The sequence below is a fragment of the Homo sapiens genome, chromosome 3 (assembly GCF_000001405.40).
Source record: "Homo sapiens chromosome 3, GRCh38.p14 Primary Assembly".
NCBI classification, from domain to species: Eukaryota; Metazoa; Chordata; class Mammalia; order Primates; family Hominidae; genus Homo; species Homo sapiens.
In genome coordinates this window covers 33,969,539-33,984,994 of record NC_000003.12, presented here as the reverse complement: position 1 = coordinate 33,984,994, position 15,456 = coordinate 33,969,539, and the positions used below count along the sequence as shown (strand labels likewise).

The 15,456-nt window shown below is 41.6% G+C and overlaps 1 annotated feature.

Moving 5' to 3' along the window:
- Positions 9,492–9,692: a silencer, noted in NCBI's record as "peak4603 fragment used in MPRA reporter construct". NCBI's record gives its function as "represses an SCP1 promoter by STARR-seq MPRAs in K562 erythroleukemia cells {active_cell/tissue: K562}" and the evidence as "EXISTENCE:reporter gene assay evidence [ECO:0000049][PMID:32103011]".

Genomic DNA, 15,456 nt, shown 5'->3' with positions numbered 1-15,456 from the left:
TAAACAAGCAGACAGCCAAATCATAAATGAACTTCCATTCACAATTGCTACAAAGAGAAGAAAATATGAGGAATACAGCAAACAAGGGATGTGAAGGACCTCTTCAAGGAAAACTACAAAACCACTGCTCAAAGAAATAAGAGATATCACAAACAAATGGAAAAACATTCCATGCTCATGGATAGGAAGAATCAACACCGTGAAAATGGCCATACTGCCCAAAGTAATTTATAGATTCAATGCTATTCCCATCAAACTACCATTGATATTCCTCATAGAATTAGAGAAAAATACTTTGCATTTCATATGAAATCAAAGAAGACCCCATATAACCAAGACAATCCTAAGCAAAAAGAACAAAGCTGGAGGCATCATGCTACCTGACTTCAAACTACACTACAAGGCTACAGTAACCAAAACAGTGTGATACTGGTACCAAAACAGACATACAGACCAACAGAACAGAACAGAGCCCTCAGAAATAATACCACACATATACAACCATCTGATCTTCTACAAACCTGACAAAAACAAACAATGGGGAAAGGATCTCCTATTCAATAAATGGTGCTGGGAAAACTGGCTAGCCATATGCAGAAAACTGAAGCTGGACCCCTTCCTTACATCTTACACAAAAATTAACTCCAGATGAATTAAAGACTTACTTGCAAAACCCAAAACCATAAAAATCCTTAGAAGAAAACCTAGGCAATACCATTCAGGACATAGGCATGGGCAAAGTCTTCATGACAAAAATGCCAAAAGCAATTGCAACAAAAGACAAAATTGACAAATGGGATCTAACTAAACTAAAGATCTTCTGCACAGCAAAAGGAACTATCATCAGAGTGAGCAGGCAACCTACCGAATGGGGGAAAATTTTTGCAATCTACCCATCTGACAAATGTCTAATATCCAGAATCTACAAGGAACTCAAACACATTTACATGAAAAAAAACCCCACCAAAAAGTGGGCAAGGTATATGAACAGACACTTCACAAAAGAAGATATTTATGCGGCCAAAAAACATGAAAAAAAGCTCAACATCACTGATTATTAGAGAATTGCAAATCAAAGCCACAATGAGATACCATCTCACGCCAGTCAGAGTGGCGATTATTAAAAAGTCAAGAAACAACAGATGCCGGCGAGGCTGTGGAGAAATAGGAATGCTTTTACACTCTTGGTGGGAATGTAAATTAGTTCAACCATTGTGGAAGACACTATGGCAATTCCTCAAGGATCTAGAACCAGAAATACCGTTTGACCCAGCAATCTCATTACTGGGTATATACCCAAAGGAATACAAATCATTCCATTATAAAGACACATGTACACATATTTTTTTTCTATACTTTAAGTTCTGGGATACATGTGCTGAACATGAAGGTTTGTTACATAGCTATACATGTGCCATGGTGGTTTGCTGCACCCATCAACCCATCATCTAGGTTTTAAGCCCCACATGCATTAGGTATTTCTCCTAATGCTATCTCTCCCACTGCCCCCACCCCCTGACAGGCCCCTGTGTGTGATGTTCTCCTCCCTGTGTCCATGTGTTCTCATTGTTCAACTGCCACTTATGAGTGAGAACACGAAGTGTTTGGTTTTCTGTTCCTGTGTTAGTTTGCTGAGAATGATGGTTTCCAGCTTCATCCATGTCCATGCAAAGGACATGAACTCATTCTTTTTTATGGCTGCATGGTATTCCATGGTGTATATGTGCCACATTTTCTTTATCCAGTCTATCATTGATAACCATTTGGGTTGGGTTGTAACAATAGCAAAGACTTGGAACCAACCCAAATACTCATCAATGATAGACTGGATAAAGAAAATGTGGGACATATACACCATGGAATACTATATAGCCATAAAAAAGGATGAGTTCATGTCCTTTGCAGGGACATGGAGGAAGCTGGAAACCATCATTCTCAGCAAACTTACACAGGAACAGAAAACCAAGCACTGCATGTTCTCACTCATAAGTGGGAGAACACATGGACACAGGGAGGGGAACATCACACACGGGGGCCTGTCTGGGGATGGGGAGCAAAGGGAGGGAAGTTAGAGGACAGGTCAGTAGGTGTAGCAAACCACCATGGCACACGTATACCTATGTAACAAACCTGCATGTTCTGCACATGTATCCCAGAACTTAAAGTAAAATTTTAAAAAAAGAAATAAAGAGAAAAGATAAGAATGACTCCAAACAGCAGGCACTCTGGAAAGAGAGAACAAAGAACATGGTGGAAAGAAATCATCAATAAAATAATTCAAGGAACTAGCCAGGCACTGAAAGATTCGAGTTTCCAAATTGAAAGGTTCACAAAGTACTCAGCACACAAGAAAACAACTGACCCACACTATGACCCATCATTTAAAAATTGCAGGACTTGGGAAGTAAAGAGAAGAAGTTATACATTCCTGAGCAGGAAAAAAATGCTTCCTGTATACAAAGCATCAAGGATCCAAATAACATTGAACTTCTCAAAAGCACTACCAGACGCTGGAAATCAATGTGCAATGTCATCAGAATTGTGAGGGGAAATAATTTCCAATCAAGAATTTTATATCCAAAGTTATAATTAAGTGTGAAGATAAGGACATTTTCTGTCATATAACACTCTCAGTAAAATATCTATCGTTTCTCAGTAGGATGTGTTCCGCAAAAACAAAAGAGTAGGCCAAGAAAGAGGAAGGCAAGAAAACCCAGAAATGAAAGACATTCTCAGGGTGATAGTGAAGAGAGATCCCAAGACACAACTGTGCAACAATCCTGGAGAACAATGAGCTCAGTGTGGAGCAGGTCAGAAGATATTTCTATGTATATTTCTATATGTATTACATACATATATTACTATGTATGTAAACAGATGTATGGAAAGTAGAATAGAAAGATATATACAAAAAATACACAAAATGGAAGCATATGGGAGGTAGGAAAATTAGATTGAAAATTGGGGATAAAGAGGAAAAATACATTTAAAAATTAAAAAGGGCAGCCATTAGACCAACAATGACATGGTGTCATAAACTGAGAATAATCAACTCAATTTTCTGCACATGAGATACAAACAACCAAATCAACAAAGGCACACATATCTACCTCATAAACTCATCTCTTCCAGTACCACTCTCTCTCACTTACTACTCCCCAGACATGCAGGCCAACTTTCTATTCCTTGAATTCCATGTTCATTACCACCCCCAAAGCCTTTGGACTTCCCATTTCTTCCTGAATTTTTCCTCCCATTGCTGTTTGCATGGTCAACACCTTTTCATCTCTCAAGTCTCAACTCAACATTTTACCACCTCAGAAAAGATTTTCCTTGCCCCGCTATGCAAATTCATCCCTCCAACCCTCTTGTTCCCTATCCACAAGAGCCTGCTTATTCCTTTAATAGCAACTATCAAAATGAAATTTTCATATATTTATTTGCATATTGTTTGCACTTCTCCACTCTAATAATGTAAACTCTATGAGAGCAGAAATCATATCTATTCCATTGCTCCTGTAGCCCTTGGATCTAGAACAGTGCCTGGTACGTTTTCAGTGTTCCATCATTTATTTGGTAATTTAACTGGTCATTGAAAATCAGGCCAGAAACAAAGAGGTCATGGTGTTGAAGTCATCAGTGTGGATGCTAAAAACACTGAGAATGATGGCAGTGTTTAGGAAGTGTTTAGAAGAATAAGAAAGTAACCAAGTACTGAATTCTCCTGTGAATAAGGGGGAGAGATGAGGCAGTCAGTGGACCATACACGAAAGAGTAGAAAAGAATAGCATTACCAGATGTTATAAGCTTGAAAGGGGCAGATTTTGTGGGCTGTAAGGTAAATGCCTGTTTCAAAGCATCAGTGGGGAGCAAAGAGGACACTTATTTCACCTCCTGGCTCTTAGGTAGGTACTGTGTTGGAGACGAAACAGCCTCCATTTGAGACAACCAAGGGAATACCAAGTTCCAATTGGAGAAAGGAAACAGAAAAATTCAGAGACGAGGTTAGAGATGAGTTTCCTGGTGACACTTCACTTTCGGAGGGCATAATGGAAGGTGTGGGTTAGATTAGAACAGCAGTTCCCAATCAGGGGCAATATTGCCCCCCAAATTTGGAAAGGCCTGGAAACATTTTGGTTGTCATAGCTGAGGGCATATTACCAGCACCCAGTGAGTGGAAGTCAGGGATGCTACTAAACATGCACAGGACAGCCTCCCATAACAAAGAGTTAACCAGCCCAAAATGCCAATAGTGCTGGAAACCTTGGGTTAAGAAATCCCGGAATAAGGGAGGAATAGAACCACAGAGTATAAAAGTACAGTTGAGGATAGAATGCCAGAGAGACTCAGGCACTTGACAGTCACTGAGGCAAACTCAGCTGGATGGCATGTTGAGATTAGTTCTAACAGATTCTAACAGGGACTAATAGAATGGGAATAGGAAATCACACCTGTTGAACTCTGGAATTTAACATATAATGGAATGGTAGCTCCATCTAGCGTAAGGGAGATGCTGGGCAGCAGCTCCACAAGACCAGTCCAGTATAACGGAATGCATGGTTGGCATCTCATGGATGTTTGGCTTGGCCAAGATCCCAGGATGCTCCAGGTCTGCAAGCTTGAGTCTCATCTTCTGGGGTATGAGACATCCTTGGAAAACATTAACTTTTAGAGTGCATTGGGCCGTCTTATGTGCCACATTGTTCACTGTTATTTTCTTCAATTACTTCTCTTAACAAAAACGACAAGACAGGAAGGTCTGGGTAAGCTCCATTTTAATGTGACTTTTCTTCAAGGTGCCTATCAGTTAATCAGGAGAAGGATAAGGAAACGTGAAACAAGAGAGACAATATTTATGAAACTCGTATATACAAGGTATTGTTCCAGGTACATAATAGCAAACCCCTGTAAAGGAGGGGTTTGGAAACCCATTGTAGAGATGAGCAACCTGAGGCTGCAGAAATCGTGAGTTTTGTAGAACTCACAACTAGCATAAATTTAAAGTCAAAATTATAACCCAGGCCATTGTAACTTTAAAGCCTTTGGGATTTCTACCCTGATATCCAGCTCTAAGAATCATACTTCACATGTACAGACAAACTAAATAGTGGATGGATGGATGGATGAATGGATGGATAGATAAACACACAGTTGATGCACAAAGCATCTATATGGCTCATTCACATTTTCCCCCCTACCTTGTCCCCTGATTATGGTTTTTTGTTTACTCTGCTTTGTTTTGGCTCAGTTTCTTGAAAATATGATCAACTTTTGATTACCCATGATAAAAAAAAGGGACAGATAATAGAAATAATTGAAAATAGAAGACAATCCAGAAGTAATTTCTATTTAGTCTGGGGAATTTGTTCATGCCCTTTTAAACAGAAGATTTACAAGACTAATTATATTTTACCTTGGCATATATTAAAATTCTTTTTCATTTCTTAAACACATACCAACTGGTGGTGGGTGAGGTAAAGCTAGGCACAAGTTGGATGGCAGGAAAAGGCAAGCTGGGACATAATACTTCAGAGCAGAATAATCACAGGATTTATTACCTTCAAGTGAGTAATGAAAAGTTTATTTATAATCCCAAAAAGAGTTATTTAAATTTAATAAGAAATAATAAGAGATATTTTTCAGAATCTCTTTAGAAAGATTTTGACTCACCTGGTTCCTTAACAGTAAATCCCATGCAATCTTTGAGTGAGCACATGGGATTCTGAAAGAAATCAAGTTGGCTTAAGTTGTTTCCATGGGTTCTCCGCTCATCCTGGCTCAAGCCAACCCCCTAGTGACTCTACTCCCTCCCCCCAAAAAAATGTAAGTCAAAATCCTACAGCTTTTCTACCAGATAGGCCAGCAGATGCAGTAAGATCCTGGGAGGTAAAGGCTTGAAGAGTTTTCTCTTTGTGGACAAACTCTCTGGTGGCTCTGCAGGGGCCCTCAGGGACACTTAAGCAATACTGTAAATGAGGTGCAATTGTGGAACTGAGATGCTGAAAAACAGACAATTTCACCATCAAGTGCTGAAGAATTATGGTTCCCTGGGAAAGCAGCAAGGCTTATCCTCTAGAGAAGGGCAGAAGAGGATCATCTGGATTCTGAGGCTCTTGTGAAGTCCAGTGGGAAGCATGGTAATTGCTCTATTGCCCACACTGCCCCAGGGAACTTTTACCATTCCTTTCCCAGCACCTCTGCTCAGGACACTGAAATTTCCACATCATATCATCACAGCTAGGCCAAGCATCCATGACTTTCCATCAGAACCAGGGAGTGAGGAAAGGAGCTAGTCCCATATGGAGTCTGCTTAGGCCCAGGCACAGTGTTTGGATGCTTGACTTCACACTTACATTCCCGGGTGGTACCTGCCCAGCCCAAGAGCCTGACCATAGTGAAGATTTGCTGAGCATCTCTTATAATTCTGGGTTTTGGCTTTGCAGAGTTAATTTCTTCTTTTTATAGTGGTTGCTTTTAACATGCTTGCATAGCAGGAATGAGCTGACCAAACCTAGAGCAAATATGAGATTATTTTTATCTCCCCTTTCTTCTTGGAGGTAAGATGTGATCTAAAACACTCACTAATTCACTTGCTATCATGATAATGGGAGAAAAAAAATCTTGCCAGGGCCAAGGCAGACAAAGATAAACACTCCAACAGAAAAAGGAGGCCAGGCACGGTGGCTCACCCCTATAATCCCAGCACTTTGGGAGGCCGAGGCAGGCAGACCACTTGAGCTCAGAAGTTCAAGACCAGCCTGGTCAACCAGGTGAAACCCCGTCTCTACTGAAAATACAAAAATTAGCCAGGCATGGTGCATGCACCTGTAATCTTAGCTACTTGGGAGCCTGAGGCAGGGGAATCACTTGAACCCAGGAGGCTGAGGTTGCAGTGAGCCAAGATGACACCACTGCACTTCAGCCTGGGAGACAAAGCGAGACTCCATCTCAAAAAAAAAAAGAAAAAGGAAAAGGTTTGGGAGTCTGAAAACACCACCTGTAGGTGGGCATGAGTGGAGAGGAAAAGAGACTATAGTGTGCCCGAGGATATTCTATCTGAATGAACATGCACCCATTCCTAATTACATTTTTAATCTGTTGATCAAACATTAATTATTTTAGATTGAAAATGAATCAGGGTGTACACCACTGTGGGAGCTGTTCCTGCTGCATTCCAAACCTCTGGGGACAGCAGCTGCCTCCTACCCATCACCTCCAAGTGTTCTTGATGGCAAGACAACAGCTTCTGTCACCCAGTGACACAGCCATGTATTAGCAGGAGAGGTGCTCCAGTGAAAGAAAAAATGATGGACAAAGATTAGGCTAGCCCAGCCTGGAAGTCAGACTGCAGGTCCTGGTCATGGCATCACCCATTTTGCACCTATCTCTCAAGTCCTCTATTTCACTAAATCACTCATTTTTCCCCAAGATGGGAGAAAGTACGCATCTCCATAGTCCTGCTTTGTTTGGTTCCTACTTTCTTCAAGTTTACTCTTCTCTATCCAGACTTCTCTCAAGCTTCCCTGTTCCTCATCATCCAACCTCACACAACAATATAGCACATCCAGATATGATTGTGCAATAAAAGAGGCAGTACAATGGGAATCTCCTCATTCTAACTCTGCAGGGAACCAACGTGGAGAAGGCATGAGGGTGCATAGAACTCAGAGTTTGGAGTCATAAACCTGCATTAGATTCTCCCATTTTCTGAGAGGCTTTATTTATGGCTTTCATGAACCTCTGAAAAAAAATGTCTGAAAAATCTCCCATACCAACTTCTCTAAGCCTTGTTTTCCTTTTATAAGCTGTGAATAATAATGCCCATGAGTAGGTGACATTCCATGGGCATCTGAAAGGCTGGGCTAAATTATAAAACCAATACATAATGGATGAGGTCACTTGTGCAAATGGCATCTGAGACAAAATGTTTTTCGTGCCATCTGCAACAAGAGCAATGAACTGGCTTTATTTGTATCCATGGCATTAATCAGGACAGCAACAACATCAACAACAACAAAAAAAGTGTCCATCAGAAGGGGGAGAGAGCTCTACTTTGACCCCATAATAGAGAGACTCAGAGGCAACAGTTGACAGTGCATATCCCAAGAAAGGGAGGCCCCAGCCCTTAGAGTTCACCGGCCCAGTGTGCTGCCCAACTATTTGCCTAATGTCATTAAACACTGGGACTTTGGTCCATTCTCACTGGGCCAGCTTATGACGATTTGATTGCCATGCCCCTTCTCCTCACAGGGAGAAGGGGTGCTGGTCAAATGACAGGTCTGTCCAGTCTTCTTGACAATATCACTTCAGAGGTCATCGAAGGCACAAATAAGACCCCATGAGAAAGTACTTCATAAACTGCCCAGTGTTGTGAATTCTCAAGTGCTGAGTTTCATTGTGACACTATAATGCCATTTATTTATCAGCCATGATAATTGCGTCCACCTAACCTATTCCCACAGGAGCCCAACAACCTCAGTGAATCCTGAAAGTGGAGAGATACAAAAGAAAGTTGTTGAGTTAAGGGCCAGATGCAAAAACAACCCTCCTCTCTTTGTCCCTACTCCTTGCTTGCCCACTCTTTCTTAATCCATTCTTCCACAGACACAGAATAATTTCTTTGTCTCCAGTTCAGCTAGTTCTTTGTTTGCTGCCTTTAATCCCTACTATGGTCTGAATGCTGATGTCCCCCACAAAATTCATAAGTTGATGGTTTTAGATGTGAGGCCTTGGGGAGGTGATTAGGTCATGGGAGCACAGCCTTCATGATTGGGATTGCTGTCCTTACAAAAGAGGTCTGAAAGAGATCCCTTGCCCCTTTCGTCGTGTAAGAACACAGTCAGAAGGCACAGTCTGTGAGTCTGAAAGCAGGTCCTCACCAGACACCAAATCTGCCTTGATCTTGGACTTCCCAGCCTCCAGAACTGTAAGAAACCAATATCTGTTGTTTATAAGATACACAGTTTGTGGTATTTTGTTATAGCAGCATAAACAGACTAAGACAATCTTATTTGTCTTTAAGAAAGAGAAGTCAGATTTAAAAGCATGCCAGCTGCTAGCTACTAATTCCACCTTCCTAACACTATTGTAATATTCCTCTCAAGTTTGTAGCAGTTTCCTTTACAACTCCATAATCTCTCATCCTGGGTGTTGGCATTCTAATTTCTTGGATATCCTTTTGAAGTTCTCAGTAGTAATGAAGTCTGCTTTTTACTACAGTCATGTCCTGCATAATGACATTTCAGTGAACAACAGACTGCATATACAACGGTGGTCCACAAGATTTATAATTGAGCTAAAAAATTCCTATTGCCTAGTGATTCATAGGCATTGCGACATTGTAGCACAACACACTGCTGACCTGTTTGTGGTGATGCTGGTGTCAACGAACTTAATTGTGTTGCCGGTTGTATAAAAGTATAGCACATGCAATTATGTACAGTACATAATACTTGATGATGATAATAAATAACTGTGTTACTGGTTTATGTGTTTACTATACTATGCTTCTTATTTAGAGTATACTCCTTATCCTTATTTTTTTTTAAGTTAACCGTAAAACAACCTCTGTGAAACAAGGCAGGTCATTCTGGAGTTATTCCAGAAGCAGGATTGTTATCACAGGAGATGACAGATCCTTGCATGTTATTGCCACTGAAGACCTTCCATTGGAACAAGATTAGGAAGTGGGATACAGTGATATTGATGACCTGACCCTGTGGAGGCCTAAGCTAATGTGTGTTTGTGTCTTAGTTTTTAGCAAAAAAAGCTTAAAATGTAAAAAATAAAAAAGTTTTTAAATAGGAAAAAGCTTATAGAACAAGAATATACAGAAAATTTTTGTATAGCTGTACAATGTGTTTATATTGTAAACTGTTATTACAAAACAGTTTAAAAGTTTAAAAAAGTAAAAAGCTTATAAAGTAAACAAGTTATAGTAAGCAAAGATTAATTTATTATTGAAGAAAAAAATTTTAATAAATTTAGTGTAGCTTAAGTGTAGAGTGTTTATAAGGTCTAAGTAGTGTACAGTAATGCCTTAGGGTCACCTTCATCCACCACTCACTCCCTGACTCACCCAGAGCAACTTCCAGTCCTACAAGTTCCATTCATGGCAAAGTGACCCATACAGATGTACCGTTTTTTCTTTTTTTTTTTTTTTTTTTTTTTTTTTTTGAGACGGAGTCTCGCTCTGTCCCCCAGGTCGGACTGCGGACTGCAGTGGCGCAATCTCGGCTCACTGCAAGCTCCGCTTCCCGGGTTCACGCCATTCTCCTGCCTCAGCCTCCCGAGTAGCTGGGACTACAGGCGCCCGCCACCGCGCCCGGCTAATTTTTTGTATTTTTAGTAGAGACGGGGTTTCACCTTGTTAGCCAGGATGGTCTCGATCTCCTGACCTCATGATCCACCCACCTCGGCCTCCCAAAGTGCTGGGATTACAGGCGTGAGCCACCGCGCCCGGCCCGTTTTTTCTTTTATACCATATTTTTACTGTACCTTTTCTGTGTTTAGATATTCTTTTTTTTTTTTTTTTTTTTTGAGAAGAGTCTCACTCTGTCACCCAGGTTGGAGTGCAGTGGCACGATCTCGGCTCACTGCAACCTCCGCCTCCCTGGTTCAAGCAATTCTCCTGACTCAGCCTCCTGAGTAGCTGGGACTACAGGCGTGTGCCACCACGCCCGGCTAATTTTTTGTATTTTTAGTAGAGACAGGGTTTCACCATGTTAGCCAGGGTGGTCTCGATGTCCTGACCTCATAACCCACCTGCCTGTGCCTCCCAAAGTTCTGAGATTACAGGGGTGAGCCACTGTGCCCATCCTGTGTTTGGATATTCTTAGACACACAAATACTTACCACTGTTTTATAATCACCTAGAGTATTTAGTACAATAATATGCTGTATAGGCTTGTAGCCTAGGAGCAACTGGCTACACCATATAGCCTAGGTGTGTAGTAGGCTACACCATCTAGCTTTGTGTAAGTATACCTTATGATGTTTGCAGAATGACAAATTTGCCTGATGTTGCATTGCTTGGAACTTATCTCCATCATTAAGTGACAGGTGACTATACATGAGAAAAAATTACAAAACCACATCTCCTCTCTTGAGTCCTGCACCTAAAATTCAGAGTTCTCCTCACTGATTAAATATAATTCAGCCCTATTTAACCACATGGTAATTTATGTATTATTTAGACTGGGTCAAGGCCTAGGACCAGAGTTTGGGCAAAAGTAGTTGCAGTGGGACCCAAGTCTGCATTCATTCGTTCATTCATTTATTTTGCAGTTACTCAATACCTACTAGGTTCTTGTGTCACAGAGTCAGTGCTGAGCTCTGAGGATGGAGAAATAAGGACGTTGTCTCTTGCCCTAACCAGGGCTCAAATCCTGCCTCTGCCACTTGCTAATTATTTAACCCTTTTGAGATGAAATTGAAATGAAAACATTATCCATTGACTAGAATTTTTGTAAGGACTGCATGAAATACTATATGGGAAAGGTCTTAACAGTGTGTCTGTTACATAGTACATACTCAGTAATTGTTAACCGTATATATTGTTTGTGGTTGGCAGCTTCTGACATGACTCTAAATTATCTCCAACTCTTGGTATTCACGCCTTTATAGAGCCTCTCCCCTTTACAATGTGCTGGTCATTCCATTGGTTGCTTCTAACCACTAGAAGCAGCAAAGGTAATGAGATGTCACTTCCCTGATTAGGTTACAAAAGACAGCTTTCTAACTTGCTGATTCTCTCTCTCTCTCTCTCTCTCTCTCTCTCTCTCTCTCTCTCTCTCTCTCTCTCTCTGTCCCACTCGCTCTTGCTGTCTCTCTCCCTCTCTCTCTCCACCCACTCCCCTTCATGCGTGATTTGATGAGAGGGCCACTTGGCAAGAAATTGAAGGTGACTTCTGGCCAACAGCCAACAAGGAGCTGAGGCCCTCAGCTTAACAGTCCAGGAGGAACCGAATTCTACCAGCGGCCACATGAGTGAGCTTGGAAACAGTTTCTGCTCCAGGTGAACCTTGAGATGACTGCAGCCTCCGCTGACACCTTGACTGCAGTCTTGTAAGAGAAGGAACCCTGAAGCAGAGAACCCAGCTAAGCTGTGCTCAGATTCCCGACCCACAGAATCCAAGAAATAATACCTAATGCTTGGGATAACTTGTTATGCAGCAAGAGATAATTAATACACTGTTGTTACTAAAATTTTTACTGTTTTTGAGGGACAAGGAGCAAAGAATGTGTGGCAGGAGTAACAAGAAGGAATATAGACAATGAGGTACATTGGCAGCCAGATCATCAAGAGCTAAGAATGCCATGTTAAACATTTAAAGCTTCTCTTCAGGAAAATGGGAAGTCATCAAATGTTCTTTAAGCAGAGTAGAGAATCAATTTCTTCTTAAACAGCAAGACAAATATGGAGACTTAAAGAAAACATCTTTCAAGAAAAGGAGCCAAAATGACTTCTTGAACCAGTATGTCATCTAGGATATAAAATTGGAAAACTTCCAAAAAATTGAGATCTCTTATTTTTCACCCCTTTGGCTGTTAGGTAAATCAGTTTGGGATTCATATCACCAAGTTTAATGGTGAAGAAAATAAAAGAAAGTGAAGTTACTGAAATAAACAATTTCATTAAGTTCAAAATCAGTGAGTTCAAAATCAATTAAATTTGTAATACCCTTATTGAGGACACAAAGTAGCAAATTAATAGCAGTGAAAATGAGTTTTTAGGAATACAAAAGGAGTGAGACTTTTATAAATAACTTTTGACATTACAATTTCCTAAATCAATAAAGAGACATCTGTTTTTTTATTTGCACATCTTTGTTTAAATCCTAAATCAAGACTTTACACATCCTTCCCTTGGACAAGTTCTACAAATTAGTTTGAAAGTGACCCAGTTTTTGCACATAAGCCATAATATCCATGTGTCCAGGTCTTATTATTACAGTAGAAGTGGACTGGGATATGGTCTTTTATACAATCTATAAAGTAAATAAAAGGAAAGAATATCTCTGAGTATTTACAAAAAGGTTCAAAAGTGAAGGCAGTAGGGAATGAGGAATTTGGCGTGGAAGAATGACTACTAACTTGGAATCCACATGACAAATCCTAGTCTTTACTATTGGAAGAGCCTGTAACAGTTGTGCACATTGTTTCTTTGGCCAGTATTTATTGAGCACCTGCTATATGTGGCAGGCACTGTGCTACACCCTAGACATCCACCTACTTGATACTGACAATGGAAATCTATAGAACTCCTTGAAGGCAGGAGTAGGCTTAGTATAGAAAGAAACTTTCCATGAGAAGTCACCAAAGTGCTGGTCTGAGCCTACTCATTAATTTGCTAAATTGTTATGTAGTTCACCTCTCCAGAGTTCCAGGTTCTTCGTGAGAAGAATGAAGGAGTTGTACTCCATTATCTTAACAATTGCCTCCCCTCTAAAAGATTCAGAATCAACAGCCCTCTGAATGCCCAGATTTAGATCATTCTCAAACTTGCAAGAGAATACTACAGCAGAGAGCTCATGACTGAAAAGAGGCTCTATCTTACCCTCTTGACAGTCTCCTTCAGGAAACAAGAGTCCCCAGCATCTCCAGGACATGCTGAATGTGTTCTATCACCAATGTTTGGCATTGTCCAAGTAATATCATGGGATCCTCACTTAGTACAGCTGCTGATGGAAAAAGTATTTAGAAGCAGAGGACCTAGAGCTAGAAAAGCAGCCACTTCCTCTTTATTCTACAGATGGCTCAAGTGTGGTCCAGAGAGGGTCTTCAACCTGCGCCAGGTCACAAGGGGCTTCTATCTCCAGTTTCTGCCATCCTATCAGGATAGAGCTGGTCTTGAGCTAAAGCATCTCTCTAAATATTGCCACATCTGGTGACTACAGTTCTAATTCCTTCAAACCATGTCACTATCCCAGAACCATGGAATGCCTGGGATCCCCAACCTACCTCTGACTCTCCAATTTCACACACACAAAAAAAGTCAAGTCCAAGAGACTCAAGTGATGACATGCTTAGCAAGAGATCCAAAACTAGAACTCAGTTCAGCTTTCAGCCCAAGCCTCATTCTCCTCTCCAAACCCTATCCTACTTGCTTATTCCATAGTCATCTCCTGAGCATCCACTGTATGCCCAGTATTATGCCTAGTGCTATTATAACAAGAACTCAAACCGAGACACTGAGCTGAAGACTCTCCTACTGATGAGGTTCCAAGATGGCTGAATAGGAACAGCTCCAGTCTACAGCTCCCAGCATGAGTGACACAGAAGACAGGTGATTTCTGCATTTCCAAATGAAGTACCAGGTTCATCTCAATGGAGCTTGTCAGACAGTGGGTACATCCCACAGAGCATGAGCCGAAGCAGGGCAGGGCATCACCTCACCAGGGAAGTGCAAGGGGTCGAGGAATTCCCTTTCCTAGCCAACGGAAGCCATGACAGACAATACCTGGAAAATGGGGACACTCCCACCCTAACACTGCACTTTTCCAATGGTCTTAGCAAACGGCACACCAGGAGATTATATCCCATGCCTGGTTTGGAGGGTCCCATGCCCACAGAGCCTCGCTCACTGCTAGCACAGCAGTCTGAGATCGAACTGCAAGGCAGCAGCGAGGCTGGGGGAGCAAGCTCAAACTGGGTGGAGCCTAGCGCAGCTCAAGGAGGCCTGCCTGCCTGCCTCTATAGACTCCACCTCTGGGGGCAGGGCATAGCTGAACAAAAGGCAGCAGAAACTTCTGCAGATTTAAACATCCCTGTCTGACAGCTTTGAAGAGAGTAGTGGTTCCCCCAGCATGGAGTTTGAGATCTGAGAATAGACAGACTGCCTCCTCAAGTGGGTCCCTGATCCCTGAGTAGCCTAACTGGGAGGCACCTCCCAGTAGGGGCTGACTGACATCTCATATGGCTGGGTGCCCCTCTCAGATGAAGCTTCCAGAGGAAGGATCAGGCAGCAACATTTGCCATTCTGCAATATTTGCTGTTTTACAGCCTCCACTGGAGATACCCAGGCAAACAGGGTCTGGAGTGGACCTCCAGCAAACTCCAACAGACCTGCAGCTAAGGGTCCTGACTGTTAGAAAGAAAACTAACAAACGGAAAGGACATCCAAACCAAAACCCCATCTGGACGTCACCATCATCAAAGACCAAAGGTAGATAAAACCAGAAAGATGGGGAGAAAACAGAGCAGAAAAGCTGAAAATTCTAAAAATCAGAGCGCCTCTTCTCCTCCAAAGGAATGCAGCTGCTCGTCAGCAACAGAACAAAGCTGGACGGATAATGACTTTGACGAATTCAGAGAAGAAGGCTTCAAACGATCAGTAATAAGAAACTTCTCCGAGTTAAAGGAGGATGTCCGAACCCATCACAAAGGAGCTAAAAACCTTGAAAAAAGATTAGACAAATGGCTAACTAGAATAAACAGTGTAGAGAAGAACTTAAA